The sequence below is a fragment of the Homo sapiens genome, chromosome 2 (assembly GCF_000001405.40).
Source record: "Homo sapiens chromosome 2, GRCh38.p14 Primary Assembly".
Classification (NCBI taxonomy): Eukaryota; Metazoa; Chordata; class Mammalia; order Primates; family Hominidae; genus Homo; species Homo sapiens.
Window position 1 is genome coordinate 170,973,842 of NC_000002.12, and position 24,773 is coordinate 170,998,614.

Sequence of the window (24,773 nt, forward strand, 5' to 3'; positions counted from 1 at the left end):
CACCGGGGGACCCGTTGGGTGCGGCGGAGACACCCTTCGGTGGCTGAGAAACCCTCAGACGCCGTGGAAGCACCAGGGGTCTGAGCGCCCAGTGCGGGAGGTGCGGGGCCGGCTTCCCTCCCCGGGGCTGGAGCCTTCAGGAGCGCCGCCCCCACCCGGCTTCCTCCGAGGGCAGTGCTGGACTCTGGCCTGGCCCCTGGCCGGCCGCTGCCCTTGGCCTCGTCCAACCCACACCCGCGGGGCGGAGGCTCCTGCTGTGCACAAGCCCGGGGCGCCGGGGTGGGGCGGCTGGGTCTGGGCCCAGGTGTCCCGAATCCAAAAGCATCCCACTGCGCTGCCTGTAAATTAGCGATTTCGGATCTAGTGATGAGCAGAGGGGACAGAATAGCCCAGAGGCCGGGTAACTAACATGTGCGGGATCAAGGAAGGCGTTCGTGGGCAGCTACTATTAGGGCTTTGAAGAATGCATAGAGGTTCTCTTAGGTGGTCAAAGTGGAAGGAAGAGGTTCTCTTAGGCAGAGGGAACAGCGTCTGCAAGGACACACAGGAATGTGGCACGTGGTGTGTCCCGGAACTACAAACAGCTCTGGTTGCTGGAATGTGAAAAGTCAAGTATGGAGTGGTAGCAGTTGCCACAGAAGGGGGAGCGGGGCCAGATCGCCGAAGGCCTTGAATGCCATGCTCAGGGGCTTAGACTGCACTGCCCTGGGGAGTTTATAAGGGGGATGGATGTTTTTTGTTCTTGGCAGTGAAGTACCCAGGGAGCTTGCCCCTTACATAGGTCAGTGGTCTGAAAAACCTCCTTTTTGGCAAGCAGGGGCCTTTCGTGAAAGAAAAAAAAAATCATATGGCACATAGATTCAAAAGCCAGGCCAGTGTGGAGCTGCCGGCAGTTTCCCTGTGAGCAGGAGGGAAAGGCGGGGCATCCCTGAGAAAGGAGCCATAGTCATCCCAGCCGGATGGCGTGGGAGAAATCTCAGGAGTCCATTATCCCCAAACACTAAAGTCCAGCAAAGTGCTGTGCCACATGTCATCCCCCACCCTCCACCTGCCTGCTGTAGTTGTGGCTGGAGGAGTAACTCACATTTTCCCTGGTCTTGTAGCAGACTGGGAAGAACCAAAAGCTGAATAGGGTGAGAGCATCCTCTTTCTTCTTCAGCTCTTTAGCCAAAGGACTCTTTCAATCCTGAGCTCGGAAAAGCAACCATGGACCAGCACTTCTCAACCCTGGTGGCTTTGAAAAACACTGTTGCCTATGGATCAGGGACAGCATTGTGGAGATCCTCCCTCTCAATTCCTTCATTTTATAGATGAAAACAGTGAAATCCAGAAAGGTTAAATGTCTCTCCAACAAGCATACGGCTAGGGGGTGGTAGAGCTGGGTCTATACCTAGTACCCAGGTGGAAATCGGATCCAGGGATTCTTTCAGCAAGCCTGAGACCCGGGCAGGTGTGGGGCGGGGCCGGTGGAGCAGAAACAGACCAGGCTGCAACTGCAGGGCTGCATGGAGGACCTGGGTGCAAGGTCCTCGGGGGACTCGTGGGGGATTCTCAGAACCCAGCCCCCAGGGCTTTTAGTATCTTCATTTTGATCACAATTTAAAATAGCAGTGGTTTGTGGGGGTTTTTTTGTTTGTTTGTTTTTCCCAACAAGGAGATGGTGTAGTCAGTGATCAGACCTCGGTTGTGAAGTCAACTCGATTCAGCCTAGTCAAATGGCCGCTCGCTACTGGGGGAGCTTCCACCACTGCAGGGGCCATGCACCTGGCTTCAGCATTCTTCCTGGGCACGGGCATCCTTCTGCCCCTGCAGACTGGCAGAGCAGCAGAGGCAAAGTGGACAACTAGGGTGAGAAAGTGCTACAATGCGACCTGTGAGGAGGGGAGGTGGCCTCAGGGGTTATACCTGTCTTCAAGCCTTGGTGTCGTGGACAAAGTCTGACTTAAAGTCCTCTCCAGCACCTAGCTCCCAGCAGGCACTCACCATATGCCGCACAAAGGCACAGGCGATGAGTGTAGCTCCATGTGCTGGGTGCTAGGTTAGAGTCGAAGGGGTGGCAGTCAGTGCCTGGCATGTGGTGGGCACTCACTGGGGTTCTCTGCCTGGGCCACTCCCTTCTCTGGACCCTGGACCCTGGACAGGGATTTGAGTGGGGAGGGGCCTGCCTTCCTGGGAGGAAGTTACAGAATGGAGCAGGGTGGGGAGGGGAAGAGGTTTCAAACCATTTCCCACCGCCCCCTGGGGGGCATGGGCTATCTCTGGAGGTATGCTGTGCATGGGTCAGTGTGACCGAAAGGCAAGGGCTACTCTGCCTCTGACACCCAGGTCCGAGGCTTTGTATTCTTGAATTTGCCATCCAAAACCACAAAGTTGTTTTAAAAAACCCACGAAGTTGTTTAAAAGATACAAATTTAGGCTGGGTGTGGTGGCTTATGCCTGTAATCACAGCATTTTGGGAGAATCACTTGAGCCCAGGGGTTGGAGACCAGCCTGAGCAACATAGTGAGATCTCCGTCTCTACAAAAAATGAACAAAATCAGCTGGATGTGGCGGTTTGAGCCTGTAGTACTTAGAAGGCTGAGCTGGGAGGATTGCTTGAGCCCAGGAAGTTGAGGCTGCAGTGAGCTGTGCTTGCACCACTGAACTCCAGCCTGGGTGACAGAGTGAGACCCTGTCTCAAAAAAAAAAAAGAAAAAATATATATACATACATACATACACACACATATATCATTTGATCCTTAAAGAACAGAGCTGTCGGCCGGACGCGGTGGCTCACGCCTGTAATCCCAGCACTTTGGGAGGCCGAGGTGGGCGGATCACCTGAGGTCAGGAGTTCAAGACGAGCCTGACCAATATGATGAAACCCCGTCTCTACTAAAAATACAAAAATTAGCCGGGCGTGGTGGCATGTGCCTTTAATCCCAGCAACTCGGGAGGCTGAGACAGGAGAATCTCTTGAACCCGGGAGGCAGACGTTGCAGTGAGCCGAGATCACGCCACTGCACTCCAATCTGGGCAACAAGAGTGAAACTCCATCTCCAAAAAAAAAAAAAAAAAAAAAAGGCGGGTGTGGGGAAGAACAGAGCTGTCTTGCACCCTGACTACATTTACAGACTTCACTCAGAACCAGAGAACACTATTTATATTTTTCCCCAGGTGGGTCTTGGATCCAGTGTTTAAGCAAAAAACTTTTCAAAATTCCCCAATACAATTGTTTTTCTGTTAAGAAAATTAAATAGCTCATTAAATAACTTTAAAATCTCAAAAAGCTGTATCAGACATGACCCATGGAAGTTAAATGTAATTTATTAGATATTGCACCATGGGCCGGGCCAACCAACATGGCAAAACCTCATCTCTACTAAAAATACAAAAAAATTGGCCAGGCGTGGTGGTGCCGACCTGTAATCCCAGCTACTTGGGAAGCTGAGGCAGGAGGATCACTTGAATCTGGGAGGTGGAGGTTGCAGTGAGCTGAGATGGTGTCACTGCACTCCAGCCTGGGAGACACAGAGTGAGACTCCGTCTCAAAAAAAAAAAAAGATAAGATACTGCACCATGAATTGACCGAATACTCTCCCCTGCCATTACTTTGGTCACTTCAAAGGTTTCTTTTATGCGCGTCCGTGTGAAGAGACCACCAAACAGGCTTTGTGTGAGCAATAAAGCCTTTAATCACCTGGGTGCAGGTGGGCTGAGTCCGAAAAGAGAGTCCGTGAAGGGAGATAGGGGTGGGGCCATTTTATAGGATTTGGGTAGGTAAAGGGAAAAAGGGGGTTGTTCTCTGGCGGGCAGGAGTGGGGGGTCACAAGGTACTCAGTGGGGGAGCTTTTGAGCCAGGATGAGCCAGGAGAAGGAATTTCACTAGACAATGTCATCAGTTAAGGCAGGAACAGGCCATTTTCACTTCTTTTGTGGTGGAATGTCATCAGTTAAGGCAGGAACCGGCCATCTGGATGTGTACGTGCAGGTCACAGGGGATATGATGGCTTAGCTTGGGCTCAGAGGCCTGACATTCCTGTCTTCTTATATTAATGAGAAAAATAAAACGAAATAGTGGTAAAGTGTTGGGACGGTGACAATTTTTGGGGGGTGGCATGGAGAGATAATGGGCAATGTATCTCAGGGCTGCTTCGAGCGGGATTAGGGGCGGTGTGGGAACCTAGAGTGGGAGAGATTAAGCTGAAGGAAGATTTTGTGGTAAGGGGTGATATTGTGGGGTTGTTAGAAGAAACATTTGTCGTGTAGAATTATTGGTGATGGCCTGGATACGGTTTTGTATGAACTGAAAAACTAAACGGAATAAGAGAAGGAGAAAAACAGGTATTAAAGGTCTAAGAATTGGGAGGACCCAGGACATCTAATTAGAGAGTGCCCAAGGAGGTTCCGCATAGCCCTGCCAGCAAAGATTATTTATTTACTTTAAGAGTTAAGAGTGGCGGTTTGGGGATAGCACCAGGAGATATCAGCTATGATGGCTTGGAGAAACAGTGTAAACTGGCAGTGTAAACAAGAGCAGGGCATGTATGAGTAGTTGAGAATGGTGAATAGGAGTATGACTAGACAGAAGACAGTAGGGAAGACAAGTTTTTTGGGGCACAGTCCAAGTGGGTCTGGTGTCTGGAATGAGACTGGGGCCTAATAAAAAGGAGCATCTATACGGGAGCTTAAATGGGCTGTACTTTGTAGCATTCTGAGGACAGGCCTGAATTCTGAGAAGGGAAAGTGGTAAAAGTATTGTCTATTCCTTTTTAAGGTGGTGGCTGAGCTTGGTGAGGTGTGTTTTTAAAAGACCTTTAGTCTGTTCTACTTTTCTTGAAGACTGAGGACTGTAAGGGATATAAAGGTTTCACTGAATACTAAGAGCTTGAAAAACTGCTTGGCTGATTTGACTAATAAAGGCTGGTCTGTTATCAGACTGTATAGAGGTGGGAAGGCTAAACTGAGGAATTATGTCTGACAGAAGGGAAGAAATGACTGTGGTGGCCTTCTCAGACCCTGTAGGAAAGGCCTCTCCCTATCTAGTGAAAGTGTCTACTTCGACTAAGAGGTATTTTAGTTTTTGTGACTCGGGGCATGTGGAGTAAAGCTAATTTGCCAGTCCTGGGCGGGGGGGCAAACCCTTGAGCTTGCTGTGTAGGGAAGGGAGGGGGCCTGAATAATCCTTGAGGAGTAGTAGAATAGCAGATGGAACACTGAGAAGTTATTTCCTTGAGGATAGATTTCTATGATAGAAAGGAAATGAGAGGTTCTAAGAGGCGGGCTAGTGGCTTGTACTATAGCATATCCTGCCTTTGCTGGTGTGTGGGTATTAGGCCTGGTGGAACTGCCATGAATAAGTGTGATCAGGGTGAGAAACAGGGAAGAAGGAAATGTGGGGAAATGGGGTGAACGTCAGGTGGATCAGAGAGATGCAGTCATGAGGGTCAGGTGTGGTATCAGCAGGAATAATGTGGGAGGCGGGATTGAAGTCCGGGCCAGGAACAATGGTAATTGTGGGAGACTCAACAAAGAGTGAGTACAGCTGAAGGAGCCGGGGAGCAGAAAGTATATGTGTCAGGTGTGAGGAAGAAAATAGATTTTGGAAATTATGAGAGCTGTAGAGAGTGAGTTGAGCATAGTTTGTGATTTTTAAGGGCCTCTAAAAGTATTAGGGTGGCAGCAGCCACTGCACGGAAACATAATGGCCAGCCTAAAACAGTAAGGTCAAGTTGTTTGGACAAAAAGGCTACAGGACGTGATCCCGGTCCTTGTGTAAGAATTCCGACTGCACAACCCTGCACTTCAGCCGTGTGTAATGAAAAGGATTGGGACGAGTCAGGGAGAGCTAGAGTGGGGGCAGTGTCTAAAGCTGTCTTCAAGGAATGAAAAGAGGAGTGGGGAAAGGATTTAGGATCTATGGGGTCAGCTAGGTTTCCTTTTGTGAGTTTATATAATGGTTTTGTTAGGATGGCAAAACCAGGTATCTAAAGGTGAAAGTATCTAACCATGCCTAGGAAGGAAAGGAGTTGTAGTTTTGTAGAAGGGGTTGGGGTGTGAGAGATTAGTTGGACACGATCGGCAGGGAGAGCATGTGTGTTTTTATGAGAATTATGCTGAGATAGGTAACAGATAAGGAAGAAATTTGGGCTTGACTGAAGTAATGGGGGCTGTCTGTGAAGCTTTGCGGCAGTACAGCCCAGGTAATTTACTGAGCCTGATGGGTGTCAGGGTCAGGCCAAGTGAAAGCGAAGAGAGGCTGGGATGACGGGTGCAAAGGAATAGTAAAGAAAGCATGTTTGAGATCCAGAACAGAATAATGGATTGTGGAGGGAGGTATTGAGGATAGGAGAGTATATGGGTTTGGCACCGTGGGGTGGACAGGCAAAACAATTTGGTTGATAAGGCATAGATCCTGAACTAACCTGTAAGGCTTGTCTGGTTTTAGGACAGGTAAAATGGGGGAATTGTAAGGAGAGTTTGTAGGCTTTAAAAGGCCATGCTGTAGCAGGCGAGTGATAACAGGCTTTAATCCTTTCAAAGCATGCTGCGGGATGGGATATTGGCATTGAGTGGGGTAAGGGTGATTAGGTTTTAATGAGATGGTAAGGGGTGCATGATCAGTCGCCAAGGAGGGAGTAGAGATCTTATACTTGTCGGTTAAGGTGGGGGAATACAAGAGGAGGACGCAAAGGAGGCTTTGGATTGGGAAGAAGGGCGGCAATGAGATGTAGCTGTAGTCCAGGAATAGTCAGGGAAGCAGATAATTTAGTTAAAGTGTCTCAGCCTAATAAGGGAACTGGGCAGGTGGGGATAACTAAAAGGAGTGCTTAAAAGAGTATTGTCTAAGTTGGTAACAGAGTTGGGGAGTTTTAAGAGGTTTAGAAGCCTGGCCGTCAATACCCACAACAGTTATGGAGGCAAGGGAAACAGGCCCTTGAAAAGAAGGCAATGTGGAGTGGGTAGCCTCCGTATTGATTAAGAAGGGGACGGACTTAGCCTCCACTGTGAAAGTTACTTAAAGTTCGGCGTCCGTGATGGTCTATGGGGCTTCCGAGGCGATCGGGCAGCGTCAGTCTTCAGCCGCTAAGCCAAGAAGATCTGGGAAGGAGTCAGAGAGCCTTCGGCCAGAGTTCCAGGGGCTCTGAGAGTGGCTGCCAGGTGAGTTGAACAGTCTGATTTCCAGTGGGGTCCTGCACAGATGGGACACGGCTTAGGAGGAATTCTGGGCTGTGGGCATTCCTTGACCTGGTGGCCAGATTTCTGGCACTTGTAGCAAGCTTCTGGGGGAGGCGGGCCTGGAGGAATGCCTGGCCACTGCGGTTTAGGCGTTGGGAAGTTCTTGTGTGCTGGAGATGTGGCTGGGGTTTGTCTCACAGTGGAGGCAAGGAATTGCAACTCAGAAATATGTTGCTATTTGGCTGCCTCTATTATTGTACACCTTGAAGGCGAGGTTAATTAAGTCCTGTTGTGGAGTTTGAGGGCTGGAATTTAATTTTTGGAGTTTTATTTAATGTCAGGAGCAGATTGGGTAATAAAATGCATATTGAGAATAAGATGGCCTTTTGACCTTTTAGGGGCTAGGGCTGTAAAGTGTCTCAGGGTTGCTGCCAAACGAGCCATGAACTGGGCTGGGTTCTTATATTTGATGAAAAAGAGCCTAAACGCTATCTGATTTGGGATAAAGAAAAAGGAGCATTAACCTTGACTATGCCTTTAGCTCCAGCCACCTTTTTAAGAGTAAATTGCTGGGCAGGTGGGGGAGGGCTAGTCATGGAACGAAACTGTAAGCCGGACCCGGTGTGAGGAGGGGAGGTGATAAAAGGATTATAGGGTGGAGGAGCAGAGGCTGAGGAAGAATTGGGACCTAGCTTGGCCTGGTGAGGAGCAGCCTGGGGAGGAGGGGAGAGGTCAGATGGGTCTGTAGAAAAGGAAGATTAGAAAGACTCAGCGACACTTCGGGTTGGGACTGAGGGGACAGGCGGGAGGGAAAGAAGGAAGATTTGGGGTGAGTTGCATTGGGCACAGACTAGGGAGGGACTGATGTGTAAAAGAATGCCTGGATATCAGGCAGCTCAGACCGTTTGCCTATTTTACGACAAGAATTATTTAGATCTTGCAGGATGGAAAAATTGAAAGTGCCGTTTTCTGGCTATTTGGAACTACTGTCAAGTTTGTATTGCGGTCAAGCAGCATTGCAGAAGAAAATAAGACATTTAGGTTTTAGGTCCAGCGTGAGTTGAAGAGGTTTTAAGTTCTTGAGAGCACAGGCGAAGGGAGACAGAGGAATGGAGGGTGGAATGTTGCCCGTAGTGAAGGAGGCAAGCCTAGAGAAAAGAGAGAGTAGAGACACGGAGGAAAGGGGTTCGGGGGTTCTTAACTTCCAGAAAAGCGTGAAAGGGGTCGGGGCATGGAAATAAGGGGTTGGGGCGCAGAGATAAGAGGTCGGGGTGTGGAAATAAGGGATGGGGCACAGAAATAAGAGGTCAGGGTGCAGAAATAAGGGATTGGGGCACAGAGATAAGAGGTCGGGGCATGGAAATAAGGGATTGGGGGTTCTTGCCCCTTAGAAAAGTGGGACTTGCTGCTAAGGGTGAGGGAGAAGGGGTTGAGGGGTTCTTGCCTCTCCCCCAGAAAAGCAGAGAAGGGGTAGAGACACGGAGAGAAGGGGTTGGGGTACTTGCTCCTCCCCCAGAAAAGCGGGACTTGCCGCTAAGGGTGAAGGACCAAGGCAGGCATCCTTGCATGGTCTGACACCTCTGAAACGTGGGTGAATAATCAGACAGGTGTCCCTGCAATGATTAAACACCAAGGAAAGCCTGCCTTCCCAGTCCGTGACCGACGCTGGAGTTTGGGTTCATGGATAAAACGTGTCTCCTTTGTCGCTACCAGAAAATGAAAGGAATTGAAATTAAGAGAAGGGAGAGATTGAAGTGTGGTGCCAAGATTGAAAGGAGAAAGAGGTTGAGGGATAGTGAGAGAGGTTGGAGAAGACAGTAAAAAGAGACTGCTTACTCGATTTGAAATTGGTGAGGTGTTTCTTGGGCTGGTCGGTCTGAGGACCTGAGGTCGTAGGTGGATCTTTCTCACAGAGCAAAGAGCAGGAGGACAGGGGATTGATCTCCCAAGGGAGGTACCCTGATCCGAGTCATGGCACCAAATTTCATTCGCGTCCGTGTGAAGAGACCACCAAACAGGCTTTGTGTGAGCAATAAAGCGTTTAATCACCTGGGTGCAGGTGGGCTGAGTCCGAAAAGAGAGTCAGCGAAGGGAGATAGGGGTGGGGCCGTTTTATAGGATTTGGGTAGGTAAAGGAAAAAGGGGGGTTGTTCTCTGGCGGGCAGGAGTGGGGGGTCACAAGGTACTCAGTGGGGGAGCTTTTGAGCCAGGATGAGCCAGGAGAAGGAATTTCACAAGACAATGTCATCAGTAAAGGCAGGAACAGGCCATTTTCACTTCTTTTGTGGTGGAATGTCATCAGTTAAGGCTGGAACCAGCCATCTGGATGTGTACATGCAGGTCACCGGGGATATGATGGCATAGCTTGGGCTCAGAGGCCTGACAGTTTCTGAATAGTGGGTTGGGGATTTCAGACTCTCAAAACACAAGAACATTGTAAGAAAATTTGACATTTAAAACTTATTAAGCCTCACTTTGTTACTTTTATTTTTTAAAAGATGTTGATGGATTATAGAATTAGTGATGTTTAATCCAGTTGAGTTTTGGAGTCAGCCAGTCTCGAGTTAAATCCCATCCCTGCTACTTCACTATTTGAGCAAACAACTTAATCTGTCTCCAATGCACCCCTCCCCTCTTCCACCTACAAAATGGCATAATCATAGGGCTGTTTTTGGGGATTCTAGGAAATGTAGGTTACAGTGACTGGTATACCATAAGTGCTCGACAAATTGTCCTTATTACTCTTTCCTTAAACAAACACAAACCCCTGCTCAAGTGAAATGTTTATTTTCTCCATCTTTGTAATTCCAAGTCAAAGTCTATGGTAGAGTTGTTGGAAGAGAATCTCAAATAATTAACTGGGTCTAAAATAATCCTGGCTTTTTTCTAGAATCTTTTTTTTTTTTTTTTGGCTTAAAAATGTCAACCTAAAATATTCTCTTTTTCTTCAATATCTACACAATAAACCAATCACAATGAACCACCAGGCAGAGGGCATGGCGTTGAGCTGGTTTGCTCCTATTCTTGGGTATGGTCCTCCAGGGCTTCCCATCTGAGCCTCAGGTATCTGTAACTACCTCAGTGGATTCCTACTGATGAGAGGTTTTCAGCTAAGCTCTTCAGGTTCCTGCTCCACACAGCTCCCAAAATCTGGCAAAAGTCATGAATCACAGACTAGATATGTATGTATTTGAAGTGGAGATTCCCTTTAAAAGGTACAAGCAGGTTACATGTAAACCTGGATTGTCATGCAAATTCTTGATGGTGACAGAGATATAGTACCTCCTGTGCAGCTGATTTGAGGCCACGACTCAATTCTAGCAAGGAAAGACAATACTTCTGGTCCAAGGCATTTAAGAACTAGGATGTCCCCTCCTTTCCTGCCTTCCTCTCCTGTAACTACAGATTGATGTGACTAGAACCATAAGATGCAAGCAGCCTGGATGCCCCAGCCACCACCTGGAGAAGAGAGCTGTCTTGTAAAGTTGCCTAGGAGTTACCAAGCTCAGTGTGGATTTTGCATAATTGAGAAACAAACCTTTTGGGGGGGTTAATTTGTTACTATAGCTTATCCTGTTTTCATTTCACACTAAGATGTGGGGTGCGGGGGGGCAGGGACCATGAAGATTTCATAGTTTTGGAAAAAACAATGAAACAAGAACACCTAACAACACGTTCATGATGCAGTCTAGGGAAGTAGCTGAGAAAGGTACGTGGAGAGAAAGTTCCCATGTTTGGCTTTTTGTCAATTAAACAGTATTTACTAAAATTTATTAAATAACTTGTATATGGTACAATATTAGTCTATCAGAAAAGGGTAAACGGACACAGAATAGTCATTTTTTGTAGAGACACAGTCTCCCTATATTGCCCAGGCTGGTGTTAAACTCCTGGGCTCAAGCGATCCTCCCACCAGCCTTCCAAAGTGCTGGGATTGCAGGCACGTGAGCCACCTCGCCCAGGCCGGAAGAGTAATTGTAACCTACGTATATTTCTTGTAGAGACCAGGATCAGGCTTTAATTTTAAATTGTGTGGTAATGGCAAACTACTACAGCTGTCAATGTTTCCAACATGATCTTATTCAACTCAGTGACCCAATGAAGGAAACAGTTCTAGTGCCAAGATGGTTGATTTGTGAGAGGAGCTTTTTGAAGTGTTTATATTACAAGTTCAAAACAAGTCACTTTGCCACTTTTATTTTGCAGTGCCAGGCCAATAAATGGGGGAATGTTGTTCTTCTAACTAACGTGGCAGTGAGAACTCTGCTTTTCCAAATTTTATCTCTGAATATAGTTTTTTACAGAGATGTGGGGAGGAGTAAACTTTATACAATGAATTTCCGTGGTGGAACAGCGGTCCCCAACCTTTGTGGTGCCAGGGACTGGTTTCATGGAAGACAATTTGTGGAAGACAGTTTTTCCTCGGATGGGAGTTGAGGGCATGGTTTCAGGATGAAACTGTTCCACCTCAGATCATCAGGCATTAGATTCTTATAAGGAGCGCCCAGCCTTCGATCCCTTGAATGAGCAGTTCACAGTAGGGTTTGTGCTCCTGAGACCCTAATGCCGCCTCTGATCTGACAGGCGATGATGCTCAGGCAGTAATGCTTACTCAACAGCCCATCACCTCTTGCTGTGCAGCCAGTTTGCTAACAAGCCACAGACCAGTACCAGTCTGTGGCTTGGGGTTTGGGGACCCTTGCTGCAGAACATGAAACTTGGCTTAAGCAATTTCCATGGTCATTAGTGGAATGAATATCTTCCATATCTGCCACTGGAAAGTCTATCACTTTTTCTAAGTCTTGGTCACAAATATGCCAATTTACAATTAAGGGTTACTACTTTCCTTATTGTGTAATTTTTTAAAAATCAGCAAAGAAACATCTTAAACTGCACTTTAGCATAGCTTCAGTCCCCTAAAGGTTATTTCGTTCCCCCAAACTACAAAGCACATATTGTTTTAGTCAAATGTAAGGGTATGTTTGAATACTAAAATGCTATCGACATACGACAAATAACCCTACTCATGTTGCTTAAGTGTACTTAAAGTTTCTCATCTTACACAAACTTTGTTGGTATATGGCTAATTCTGCATCTAGAATAATGCATGATCTCATTCTTTCAAGCTGAATTTCTTTTAAAGCTTTTTCACTAAAAGCTGTATACACACGTCTTTACTTCTGGGAAGGAAGCTCACAGAAATTAAACTTTAAAAATATTTCTACTATGGCCGGATGCAGTGGCTCACACCTGTAATCCCAGCACTTTGGGAGGCCGAAGTGAGTGGATCACGAGGTCAGAAGTTCAAGACCAGCCTGGCCAAGATGGTGAAACCCCAATCTCTACTAAAAATACAAAAATTAGCTGGACGTGGTGGCGCATATCTGTAATCCCAGCTACTTGGGAGGCTGAGGCAGGAGAATCACTTGAACCCAGGGGGCGGAGGTTGCAGTGAGCTGAGATCATGCCATTGCACTCCAGCGAAACTCCATCTTAAAAAAAAAAAAAAAAAATATATATATATATATATATTCATTCATTCCTACTAATGAAGTTAAAATTCATTGTCAAAGTGAAATATCAATAAATTTTGTTATATTAGTTCAGAAACCACAATAGTGTTAATTTTCATAGTGGTTTCAACATAACCACTCTTGAGATCTAAACAGCATCCCAAAAGTGATGAAAACACAGACCAGTTGGGACTCCAACCTGCAGCGGTCCTGTTCCCCCTCGGTGGACGCACACACTTCCACAATAGCTGTTTGTACTGGAGTGGGAAAAGAAGGCAGTGAAGAGCGTGCCACCGTCAAGGCGGCATGCAGGGCTCAGACTAAGCAGTTAGGCACAGATATGGGTTAAATACAGAAAACTTCCAAGCCAGTAGGTAGGAGACTGCGCCAGGTCTCCTGAGCAACTCCTCCTCACATCTCCCAACCATTCTCAGGCCCACCCCCCAAAAAAATACAAAACACATAATGACCCTGATAGGGGCCTCTTGAATCTTGTCTTCTGCATTTGTGGCATTTGTTCCATTTTGTCGCAGCCCATGCCATTATCAGCTGGGAAAACTTCTGAACCCCACTCTTGATGCTAGGTTCCCATGAGGCAGGTGCTATTAGAAATAGTTTACAGACAAGGAAAATAAGACCCCAGAAAGGTTAGTGATTTCTGTAAGGTCATATGCTATTAAGTAACAAAGCTGGGAGGCAAAGCCAGGTCAGACTTCCAAACCCATGCTTTCTTCCACTTTCATCCTTCTAAATATCTCCTTAAAAGGAAGCTATGAATTTGGCAAGTAGTGGACATAAAGAGATGCTCTTAGGATGCAATATGACGTAAGATCATTTGAAACACCAAAAACATGGCTAATATTAGTAACAAATCAGCCATGCTCATTCTTTGGATCAGGTAATTTTAGTATCTGAGTTTGATGTCTGTCATATAATGGAAATAAGACCTTAGTACCCCTGTGACATACCACACACCCAATCAAGAACAGGTGGGATGCTGGTCATGCACATATACTGTTTGGCCCAAGGCATATAGTTTTGGGAACAATCTAAGGTCCTTCAGGTGAAAATGGATCACACAGAGAATCTTAAACATAATTACATACAGCAATTTTAAACCCCAGTAGAGTCACTTGATGCAATCAGAAGTACCCATTTGTGATCTTGGTGGTAGAACACCACACATACGTAATTTATCAGATTTAGAAGACTTCGAGATACAATGTTCAGGGGCTATATATTGGTGAATTGGTAATTAGTGAAATCTCTCCAAAGTTCCAGGGCTTCCTTTAGAGGAGTTACTGACTTACTAGAGTCAGTTTTAAACTTTTTTTTGGCGGGGGGGATGGAGTTTTGCTCTTGTTGCCCAGGCTGGAGTGCAATGGTACAATCTCGGCTCACCGTAACCTCTGCCTCCTGGGTTCAAGCGTTTCTCCTGCCTCAGCCTCCTGAGTAGCTGGGACTACAGGCATGTGCCACCACACCTGGCTAATTTTGTATTTTTAGTAGAGACAGGGTTTCTGCATGGTGGTCAGGCTGGTCTGAAACTCCTGACCTCTGGTGATCCACCCGCCTCAGCCTCCCAAAGTGCTGGGATTACAGGCATGAGCCACTGCACCCAGCATTTAAAAAAAAAAAAAAAAGAGCAACTGGTACCACTGCGGGGAGAGGAACCAGGAGTACTTTCTGTGCCTGTGACAGTGGGCAGAGGAAGACCTCCATGAGGTGCTTTCTGTAAGACAGGTAGAATGGGGTGGGGTAGCTCATCGATGGACCTGATCTTTGACTTAAAAAGGCAAGGGAAAAAGATGTAAGAACAGAAAAAGGTGCAGCCCACTCTCCCTCTTACCTAGAATGGGTCTGTGGCAGGGCTCTGCTCTCTAGTGACTCACAGCCAACAAGACTCAGCTCAGATGGCATTCTTCATCTAACACTTGAAAAATTCTTAGGTCAGGCGTGATGTGGGTCACATCTGTAATTCTAGCACTTTGGGAGACTGAAGTGGGTGGATCACTTGGCCCAGTTCGAGACCAGCCTGGACAACATGGTGAGCCCCTGCAAAAAATACAAAAAAAGTAGCCGGGTATGGTGGCATGCACCTGTAGCCCCAGCTACTTGAGAGGCTGAGGTGGGAGGATTGCTTGAGCCCGGGAGGTCAAGGCTGCAGTGAGCTGAGGCTGCACCACTGCACTCCAGCCTGAGTGACCCTGTTTCAGAGAGGGGTGTTTCAAAAAAACAGGGTTTCAGAGAGACCCTGTTTCAAAAAAAAAAAAAAAAAAAATCTTTAGATTTGCTTTTAAAAAGATGACAATAATGTCTGTAGCTATTTGGCTGTCACCTTTGAAGAGTCATGATGAGATTTAACTCACTACGCCATGTTTACTATATACCAAGATGTTAACATAGTTAAAAACCTTGCTCCACGACTCCAAAAGCTGTGCTTACCAGTTATGTGGCTTTACCAAGTTATTCCCCCACTCCAAATCTGTTTCCTCCTTTGTAGAACACGGATACTGTCATCTGTCCTACCTCAATCAGTTGTTACTAGCAAGGAAACTGTGGAAAATATGACAGATATCTGTGATGAAACAGCATCAATAGGGCATGATCCTTTTGGCAATTAGTTCACACACACAGCTACTACTTTTTGTTTCAAATTGCTACATTTCCTCACCTTCCATTTCCAGACAATCTAATCATCACTTGTTTGAAACCTGAGTCAAGCACTGTGAAAGTGTTTCTTAAAATAATTAAAATTACCACAGGAAGCAAAGCAGACTGAATTTTATAAATAGGGCTAATAGAATAATCTTTTGAGTTTTAAAAAGGGATGATGACAATAGCAGCTTATTATATACAGTACCTACTTATGAGCTGGGCATATAAGTAAAGGTTGAGTGCGTTACATATGTGAATTCACTTATTCATTCCTTGCAGCCACTCTGCATGATGGGTAGTTGTACCCTAATTTTCAGATGAGGAACCAGAAACACAGGTAGTAAATGTTAGTCAACATTTTAATCCAAAAACTCTGGTTCAAAAAAATTGATATCTTAACCTATTTTATTGCCCTTCTTAAAACAGTCATATGGGCCAGGCACTGTGGCTCACACCTGTAATCCCAGCACTTTACGAGGCCCAGGCAGGTAGATCGCCTGAGCCCAGGAGTTCGAGATCAGCCTGTGCAACATGGTGAAACCCCGTCTCTACAAAAAGTACAAAAGTAGCTGGGCGTGGTGGCATACGCCTGTAGTCCCAGCTTGAGCCCGGGAGGCAGAGGTTGCAGTGAGCTGAGATCACACCACTGCACTCCAGCCTGGGTGACAGAGTGAAACCCCGTCTCAAACAAAAACAAAACCAGTCATATGTGTGTAGATAATCCACATCTCTATTACTTTAGACAAATGAAGATTTCCAGGTGAAAGCCATGCATTTTTGTCCTAACTATAAGTAACTCTTCTACCCCATTCTCTGGCTCTCTGCAAATAACTTTAAAAGTTGATTTAAACACATTTACTCAAATCTTTCCTTTTCAAAAATTATAGAATTCCCAGAGGGGGCGGGGTGGGGGAGGAATCCTCAAAAAAGAGAAATGAAGGGAAAGTAGGGGAAGGTAAATGGAGATGTTTATGTTGTAGGAAATACATCTAATTTAAATTGAAAAACAAGTTATATAAATTCTAAAACTGCCGAAGAATGAACTGAAACACAGGAACTAGAATTCCAATTTAATTCTAAAACTAGCTGCTAAAAGCACTTATTTATTTATTTTTGAGATGGAGTCTCACCCTGTCGCCCAGGCTGGAGTGCAGAGGTATGATCTCAGCTCACTGCAACCTGCGCCTCTGGGGTTCAAGTGACTATCCTGCCTCAGCCTCCTGAGTAGCTGAGATTACAGGTATGCACCACCATGCCCAGCTAATTTTTTTGTACTTTTAGTAGAGATGGGGTTTCACCATGTTGGTCAGGCTGGTGGTCTCCAACTCCTGACCTCAAATGATTTACCTGCCTTGGCCTCCCAAAGAGCTGGGATTACAGGTATGAGCCATCACTGCCAGCCTAAAAGCACTTTTTGAATTAGATTAAATCTTCAGAACATTGAAATTTAGTATATGTAGATGAAAAATCATCAGTTAACAGGTCAAAACTTAAGGCAGAATTAAAGAAAGACCTGTCAATGGGCTTTTAAATGTGTAAGTAAGGTTATAACATTCACACAAAAATCAAACAGCAATGTAATTAAATTTTAAGAGTAAATTAATCTAGGTGAACTGTACTATACAACTAAAACACAGCTAATAGCATGAGGGCAATCAACATTACTGCATTTAATAAGTAATGATGAACAGCAAAACAACACACAATATACTCTTTAAATGTTTCACTGAAGCTCTTCACCATTTTGACTTCATGTAATGAGGTGTTTGTTCACATTTTATATGCCATTTAAACTGACAGAGTTGTTTTAGAAGGAGATGGTAGTGAGTGTTTAAAAAAAAAAAAAAGATTGAGTCTTTATTTTTGAAAAACCACCAAGTATCTCCAACTCCCAACTTACAAATTAGGGTGGTTTCTACACTTACTTCCTCTCAACATGCACACACTAAAGCAAATTCAAATCAAAGAAAGATTTTAAAATCATATGCAAAAACTGTTGATTTTACCCTACATCAGTGCTGACTCTTAATAAAAGAGAGGCCTTGGCTATCATCTTAGGGATGCAGGACATGCTTTAATTCTGAGGACAGACACCAGGAGACCAGAAAACAATAAAACCCTAAAAAAAACAGTGTCAAAGACTGTCAGAGTGACCTTGAAATCATTTAGCAATAGATACCAACTTTCCATGTGAGGGTAAAAGTAAGTTATTCAATGTGGCTAAATTAGCCATCTTGGTTAGCCATCTTGGACCTGCTGGGTCACTGGCATGTTATTCAAAATCTATAACATTTCTTTGGGAAACTTTTAGAAGGAAAATATGGGTCTATAAGTTGATTCATCTCCTACACATCTTTGATTTTAAAATGATGACCTAAACCCAGGTCAGGAAAGCAACTTCATTTCATGGCTTGTTTTTCCCCTTTTCTGCGTTCTGCCACTAGCAGTCGCTCTCATTCATTTGAAAGTAAAATGGTAAAGCAGTGATCTCTAGGTCTATACTACTTAACTTACTGAACCTCAAAGTTAGATTTACACATTCACTTCGTATCTCCCCAAAATTTTAAGCACAACAGGCATTTCCTTTTAGTTCAGGAATTTAAATGTTACTTTATGAACATAGGACTTTATCATTCATAAAGACGAAAACTCTAACAACAAAACTGAAAACTTGCAGGCAGCACGTAAAGCACTCAATCAATGCTAAGATTTCATTACCATGTAGTATTTTTTTTTTAATAGGATTTCTCTGTGCTCTACAGAGGAATGGGTATAGCCAGCCCCTTAAACCACTCTTGATGGTTCTAAGTGTTACTTACCCAGGAGTTGCCTTGATAATGGTTATTAGGTTTAACTTTAACAGCTTGAAACAATTTACACTTGTCTTGAAGTATACTTAAGGAATTTATTCAGCTGATTTTTAAGTGAAGGAGCTCAGTTAGTCAATATCCTACCATCTTGAAAGCTCCCTTCCAATGTAATTTTCATAGTCTTTACATTTTAACTGTCATTGTTTATTACTGTTTTGGCTATACTCTCTACAATTTCAGCAGCATTTTAAAGAGACAATGTGTCTATGTACAATGAAAAAACAAAATGGCTTGCAACATCAGAAATACAGTTTAACTGTACAATATTAAAGAGAATCCGTGGTACGTATAACCTTTTTCTGCAACATGAACAACTTACATGTAAGTATCAGCATTATGAATGTGACAATAAAGAAAAAGTCCTTACAGGAGTGAAATACAGCATCCTGAAAAATATTGGTTTCTACCCTACGAGGCAGTTAGAAAACGTTCACATTTTAACAAATCTGTACAAACCACAAGAAATTTGCTTATGGGACCATCTTGCTGATAAGAACTTTCTAGAAATGTAGAATAACCATGAACAAATTAAAAATCTAGTATCTATGTGTTCTACAGCCCTAGAACCCAATAAACTGATTTAAAAACTCAATTATGTCCAACATGGATCACTTTTACATCTTGATTGTTAATGACTGTCTGCTTTTTAATATCTATGATGTACAGTCAACTTGCACCTTCTAGGTCATTTAATTTTTTAGCAAAGAAGCAACATCATTTAGCAGCAATTAGAGTGCCTTCAAGAAGACTTAAAAAAAATACAATATCCAATTAGAAAAGCCATATTTTAAACATTTGTACAAGAATAAGCTGCTGAAACTTAGTAATTGAAATATGACATCTGTACAACAATTTACAATAGAGCTAGAAGGGAATTTATCATTATCCTGCATAGAACTGGTCTGCATTTGGTTACTCACTGTCACCTGTTTTGATGAACAAGGCCTGGTAACAAAAGAAAAATACCTGTTATCAATTCTAACGTGTTGAAAACACTGGCAATATTATAATTTAGTGAATTCAACTGATTTCAACACAAGCAGCTCATTTTGTCAAAGGTGTAAAGTATTTAGAAATAATAGCTCTCCCTTTAATATAACCAGTGAAAGAAAACGGACATGTGATCTCGAGGTACAACTTGGTAAAAGTCTGAATAGGCAAATGACAAAGCCTAACTTTGTCCAAAGATTCTAACTCTCACATTCTATTACTATAAAACACAACTGTCACTGTCATTCAGTTCTTACTTTGGTTTCAGCAGATTAACTGCCAAATGCTGAAGAATGTATCCAGGCACTATAGTTCGTATGTTAGAAATATGTCTCATATTTTTCCATGTGTTTTTAAATAATGAAAAACTACCCTTCATATTAGAACTCTCTAGTAACAACCAAATGTATTTAAGTATTATAAACGTTATTTACAGTGTTCCCCCAAATAAACAAAATTTTTTTCCTCTATCTTAACATGGTATTCCTGTTTCTGTGTAACAGGCAGTCATCCTTCCTTCACTGCTCAAAATTATAGTCAGAAGTGTGCATTTATTCATTGTCCATGATCCTCTCTCATACAAATGACACTATGAGGAACTTCAGTTCACAAACAGTTCTTAACCACGTCTTGTGTAAAAAAAAAAAAAAAAAAAAAAGAAAAAGAAAACAAACACTCAAATGCTCTCAAACTTAAGTGTGCATCTGGAAGCAAATTCAAAGATATCATGCCAATCTTGGAGGAAAGTCAGTAAGTAATTATGCTTGAAGAAGGGGGTGTAGGGGATGCTGTCAGCCCAGCCATGTGTAGGTTTCCTGAAGAATTTGATCTTCTCATGTGTGGGAGAAGGTATGGGTCATTTGCCAGCTGGTGCACATCAAATCGATCTTCTTTTCGATATGCCAAACAGCGTCTTATAAATGCCTCAAAAAGAGAAAGGAAATGTTAGCAATTAATGATCTTTTTCCCTTCTAAATATCAATCAACTGAATCAGCAGAAGGATGGACACATTTAAGACATAAGTAGATCTCATTTTATTGGAAGTTCAAACCTTAAAAAAAAAATTCTGTAGCTAGAAAATTCTCACTCCAAATGCAACTCACTGCTTGAAGCCCCTGCAGTGGTTCACTTTACAGTCTAAATTACTACTGCAACCATTTGAACTTATACTGGAAAGTTGTTTCTGCTTACGAAATTCTGAAGACTTTTTTCTAGCATTTTTCTTCTGCTAAACAGTCCTCCCACCCTCATCCCATTTTGTTATCACTTCAGTTTAGCAAAGGGTAAGATGCCATTTTCAACCATTATTTTTTTTTCCTACTGACATAAAGACTTTCTTTAGATGAAGAGATCACTGAAGGGACACTTTCATTAGGGACATTGTTTCCCAGGTTAACCCTATGCATCATTACACTCCTGGAAAAGCTAAATAAACAGAATATAATCACTATTTTTTTTTTCTCAAACCAATTTTACTCAGTTTTTCTTTGAGAATAGCCTCTTACAAAAAAAAAAAAAACCTTTCCTGAAGTGTAACACATTTTTAGAAATGCACACAAATCGTTAAGTGCATAGCACAAAGTAAATACATCTATGTAACTGGCAACCAGATCAAGAAAAAGAACCTCTGAATCCCCCTCATGCCCAGTTCCAGGCACTGGCTCTGTCCCCAGTCGAACCTGGGTTAACCTTTATCTTGACTTCTAAAACCATAGTTGAGTTTTGATTGTTTGAATTTTATATAAATAGAATTATAAATTATGTTCTCCTTTGCCAGGCCTCTTTCACCCAATATTAAATTTTGAGGTTCATCCTTTTTTGGGGGGGGAGGGAACAGATAAAATATTCTCAGGAGGTAACTGGTAATTGTTTCCCTTTCTTAATGCTGACACTAGAAATTAATACATACCATTAAACAGAAGTATAATCACATTAAAAGGTAACTATTTTGCACTTTCTTTGCTTTGAAATTCATTAGAAGTATATTTTTCTCTAAAAATATACCTAGCTATTCTCATTTTACCATAGCTTACTGTTTATTGGAAGTCAATCTGATCCCTTAGAGGACTTATCTTTTTTATCTTTAACAAAGTTTCAGAGATCACTTTGAAAAATGATTAAGAGGGAAAAAAACATCAAGACTGATATGTTAGAGTTTGAGGAGTGGAAAGGCTATCAATAGCAAGGTTAAGGTTAAGTCTGCAACAAATAATGTACTTAAAGATGCCCACACCAAGTCAGGGAAAGTACTTGGCAAAGGTATCTTCTGTAGGGATACAGAATATAGAGATATTATATATTACATTAAAATATTAAAATTTATATCATATAATTGTATCATATTAATATTATATCCCCCCAACAACCCCTTAACCCTTCCTGGATTCCAGATCTCTAAAAGGTGACTGTGGTGCCTATTAAGAGCCTAAGGAGAGAACCAGGAATGGCTAAATGAGACTTTGCCTTTGGCAACTCCACTCCTCCTGGTCTTTTCAGTCAGTATTAAACAAACAGATCATGAATCAACTAAATTCATTTAATTTCTGTTCTCAATGAGGCTACAGACAGAAAATAAGACAAGATTTAGATGTCAGCACAGTTAAAATATTTTTAAAGGAGTCATATTTATCTTACAAAAATAATTCATTTTGCTTTCAAATAAGAATATTTATCTCTTTTGTTTTTTTGAGAATGGGTCTTGCTATGTCGCCCATGCAGGAGTGCAGTGGTGCGATCTCACCTCACTGCAACCTCTACCTCTTGGTCTCAAGCGATCCTCCCAGCTCAGCATCCTGAGAAGCTGAAACTAAAGGCACGGGCCCCTACACCGGGCTAATTTTTGTATTTTTAGTAGAGATGGGGTTTCACCATGTTGCCCAGGCTGGTCTCGAACTCCTGGGCTCAGGCAATCTGCCTGCCTGGGCCTCCCAAATTGCTGGATTACAGGTGTGAGCCACCGCGCATGGCCTATTTGGTTTTTTTGAGACAGGGTGTCACTCTGTCCCCCAGGTTTGAGTGCAGCGGTATCGTCATGGCTCACTGCAGCCTTGACCTCCCTGAGCTCAGGTGATCCTCCCACCTCAGACTCCCAAGCAACTGAGACTCTAGATGTGTGCCACCACGCCTGGCTAATTTTTGTATTTTTAGTAGAGACCGGGTTTCACCATGTTGGTCAGGCTGGTCTCAAACTCCTGACCTCAGATGATCTGCCCGCCTTGGCCTCCCAAAGTGCTGGGATTACAGGTGTGAGCCACCACGCCCAGCCTTATTATTACTTTTAATATTTCTTATATACTTATATATCTCAGTATTAACATAAGCAGATAAAATAATACATAAAAGGTAATGATGAGCCCAGATCTTGTGATTTTTCCCTAATTTTCAAAGTAGCAGCTGATGAACATAAACAATCAGAGACCATAGCTTAAAAGATAAAAACTATAGCAACCAGAGGCTGATGCAACTCCTTCTCTGAAAGTAAATCACCAGCCCCTGCTGGACAGATCCCCTGCAGCAGCGAGTCTTGTGACTTTACTTACTGGAAAGTACTTACCTTGTTGTCAGCACAACTGATGAAAGAAAAGTTACTTCACAAAACTCATTTACAAAAATTTAATACCTTGGCTTCACTGCTTACAACCGGTTTTACAGGGAACTGGACTTCTGTGGCTTTTAATATTGTATTTTCTTGAAGAATGTCTTGTTGAGATTGATTGTGACCAAATGGCTTAAAAAAAAAATTAAATGTTGAGATACTTTTCTCACAAAATATTTAAACACAGATATCATTTCTGTTTAAGCGAATTCCCAAAACCGAAAATCCAAATATCTTGTGTTCTAAAATCTTCCTCAGTTATTTGAAACCTGAGATGAATTCTCATACAAACAAGCTATAATTGATAGCAGGCCAAGAAAGCCTACCTAACAGATCTTCAACATAGATTAAACACTGTAAGAAGAAGAAAATAATGCTGTTGCAATATAAGATAAAAACATAAATTTAAAACTTTATTCTGAATAAACAATGAAGTTCAGTTAGAGAAGAGATGAAGTAGTAATGAAAATGTCTATGACAATTTCCAAAGAATAAAATACTGTGTGCATCACAGGCGAATTTAAATGAAGGAGCTCTGGATTTGGAGTGAGGAGATCCCACACAAATCCCTTAACCTCTCTTCCCCTATTGATGAAGGGATGGGGTGGGATGTGGGCTAGTTAATATTTATGGTAACCTGCACTTCCAACTTCAATATAAAAAGAAGTTGGGAAATAAGACTAAGTTTGATGGTATTTCCCTGATGAGCAACGGGGAAACTGCCCACCCAGGCCAAACTGTGTGTGTGGGTGGGGTGGGGGGTGTAAGAGGAGGTCAAGTGAATGGTGGATAATGAAAAGTATTGACTCCAGTATTCCCAATAGCAGACAAATATTAGCATGTTAACAGATAGTTACTTCTTTTCTTAAAAAAAGGAAAGAAAGCAAAAAGTAGGTCAAGTAAACTGGTGTGACATTAAAATAATTCTGATCCATGGAAATTTTAGGAAGAAATAGAGGAGAAGCCTGGCTTTCTTTAGAAGGATCTAAATTGACTTTAAGTTAGTGAAATTTTGCTTTTAAGAAGGAAAAATTCAACTTAATTTATCTCTGTAGAGCTGAAGGCTGGTAGAATTCAATTTACCTTTCTACCATAAAGACACTGAAAGAAGATGACTCCAACCGACCATACATCAACCTTGTTGGAAATCTTTGGTGGCTCTTTTCCAACTACAAAACACTCAGGAGGTAAATACCTGTAAGTTTTGTGGGAGAGAAAAAAGGTTACTACTGACAATCTGTAACTTAAAATCTTCTAAGTGTAAAATCTTAGAACACGAATTTTATTCATATATAAACTCTAGGACTCCCATCAGTGAAAATCATCAACTGAACTTCTGGAGCATTTACATTCTTTTATCATTTAACTCTAGAGCCAACACATACAACATTGTGATAAAGTTCATCTCTATCTATCTTTATCTATCTATCTATCTATCTATCTATCTATCTATCTATCTATCTACCTACCTACCTACCTACCACCTACCTACCTACCGAAACAAAAACTTAAAGAGATTACAATGGTCTTATTTGCAGTATCTAATAATAGTAGAAGAAACCCTCTCCCATCCTCCTTAACCACTGTTCAAACTGTAGGCACTTCTCTCCCTAAAATATACACCTGATCACATGGTTCTTTTGTTCAAACAACTTCGACAGCACTTACTGCCAACAAGACCTTGTATCTCTTGTTTGTAACACAAGACTCATGCTAATCTGGCAACAACATACATTTTCAAAATCTGCACACACTATCTTCCCCCACCCTAACCCGCCAAATTGGCTAGTCAAAACCAATTCACTTGCATCTCCACTCGGCTCTCCTTTATCCTCTGAGCTCTTGAATATGACAATCACTACTGCCTTCCCTAATCACTCCAATTACTTAGCATCTTTTCTTCTTCAAGACCCACCCAACCCCCATAAGCCATCTTTTGCTTCTCCCCAGGTGGCTCTGCTTTTCTCTGTGTTACTGCAGAATGGT

General features: G+C 43.0%; 1 protein-coding gene across 5 annotated transcripts in view, besides 4 other annotated features; it reads right to left on the reverse strand.

Annotated features, from left to right (window-relative positions):
• Window positions 85-334: a silencer, noted in NCBI's record as "silent region_12096". NCBI's record gives its function as "represses an Ori minimal core promoter by ATAC-STARR-seq in GM12878 lymphoblastoid cells {active_cell/tissue: GM12878}" and the evidence as "EXISTENCE:reporter gene assay evidence [ECO:0000049][PMID:35858748]".
• Window positions 3,644-4,200: an enhancer, noted in NCBI's record as "OCT4-NANOG hESC enhancer chr2:171833995-171834551 (GRCh37/hg19 assembly coordinates)". NCBI's record gives its function as "activates a minimal SCP1, AML or CMV promoter by ChIP-STARR-seq in naive and primed H9 embryonic stem cells {active_cell/tissue: H9 hESC(naive and primed)}" and the evidence as "EXISTENCE:reporter gene assay evidence [ECO:0000049][PMID:30033119]".
• Window positions 9,947-10,447: an enhancer, noted in NCBI's record as "OCT4-NANOG-H3K4me1 hESC enhancer chr2:171840298-171840798 (GRCh37/hg19 assembly coordinates)". NCBI's record gives its function as "activates a minimal SCP1, AML or CMV promoter by ChIP-STARR-seq in primed H9 embryonic stem cells {active_cell/tissue: H9 hESC(primed)}" and the evidence as "EXISTENCE:reporter gene assay evidence [ECO:0000049][PMID:30033119]".
• Window positions 10,448-10,948: an enhancer, noted in NCBI's record as "OCT4-NANOG-H3K4me1 hESC enhancer chr2:171840799-171841299 (GRCh37/hg19 assembly coordinates)". NCBI's record gives its function as "activates a minimal SCP1, AML or CMV promoter by ChIP-STARR-seq in primed H9 embryonic stem cells {active_cell/tissue: H9 hESC(primed)}" and the evidence as "EXISTENCE:reporter gene assay evidence [ECO:0000049][PMID:30033119]".
• TLK1 (tousled like kinase 1) overlaps window positions 16,982-24,773 on the reverse strand; it is a 240,471-nt gene continuing 232,679 nt past the window's right edge. For all 5 annotated transcript variants that reach the window (NM_001136554.2, XM_017005422.3, XM_011512238.4 and 2 more), the window contains 3 exons: window positions 23,871-23,982; window positions 22,812-22,919; window positions 16,982-20,115 (listed from right to left, as the gene is read on the reverse strand). In NM_001136554.2, the coding sequence (NP_001130026.1) occupies window positions 19,939-20,115; window positions 22,812-22,919; window positions 23,871-23,982 (397 nt within the window). In that variant the 3' untranslated portion in view covers window positions 16,982-19,938. The remainder of the gene's footprint in view (window positions 20,116-22,811; window positions 22,920-23,870; window positions 23,983-24,773) is intronic.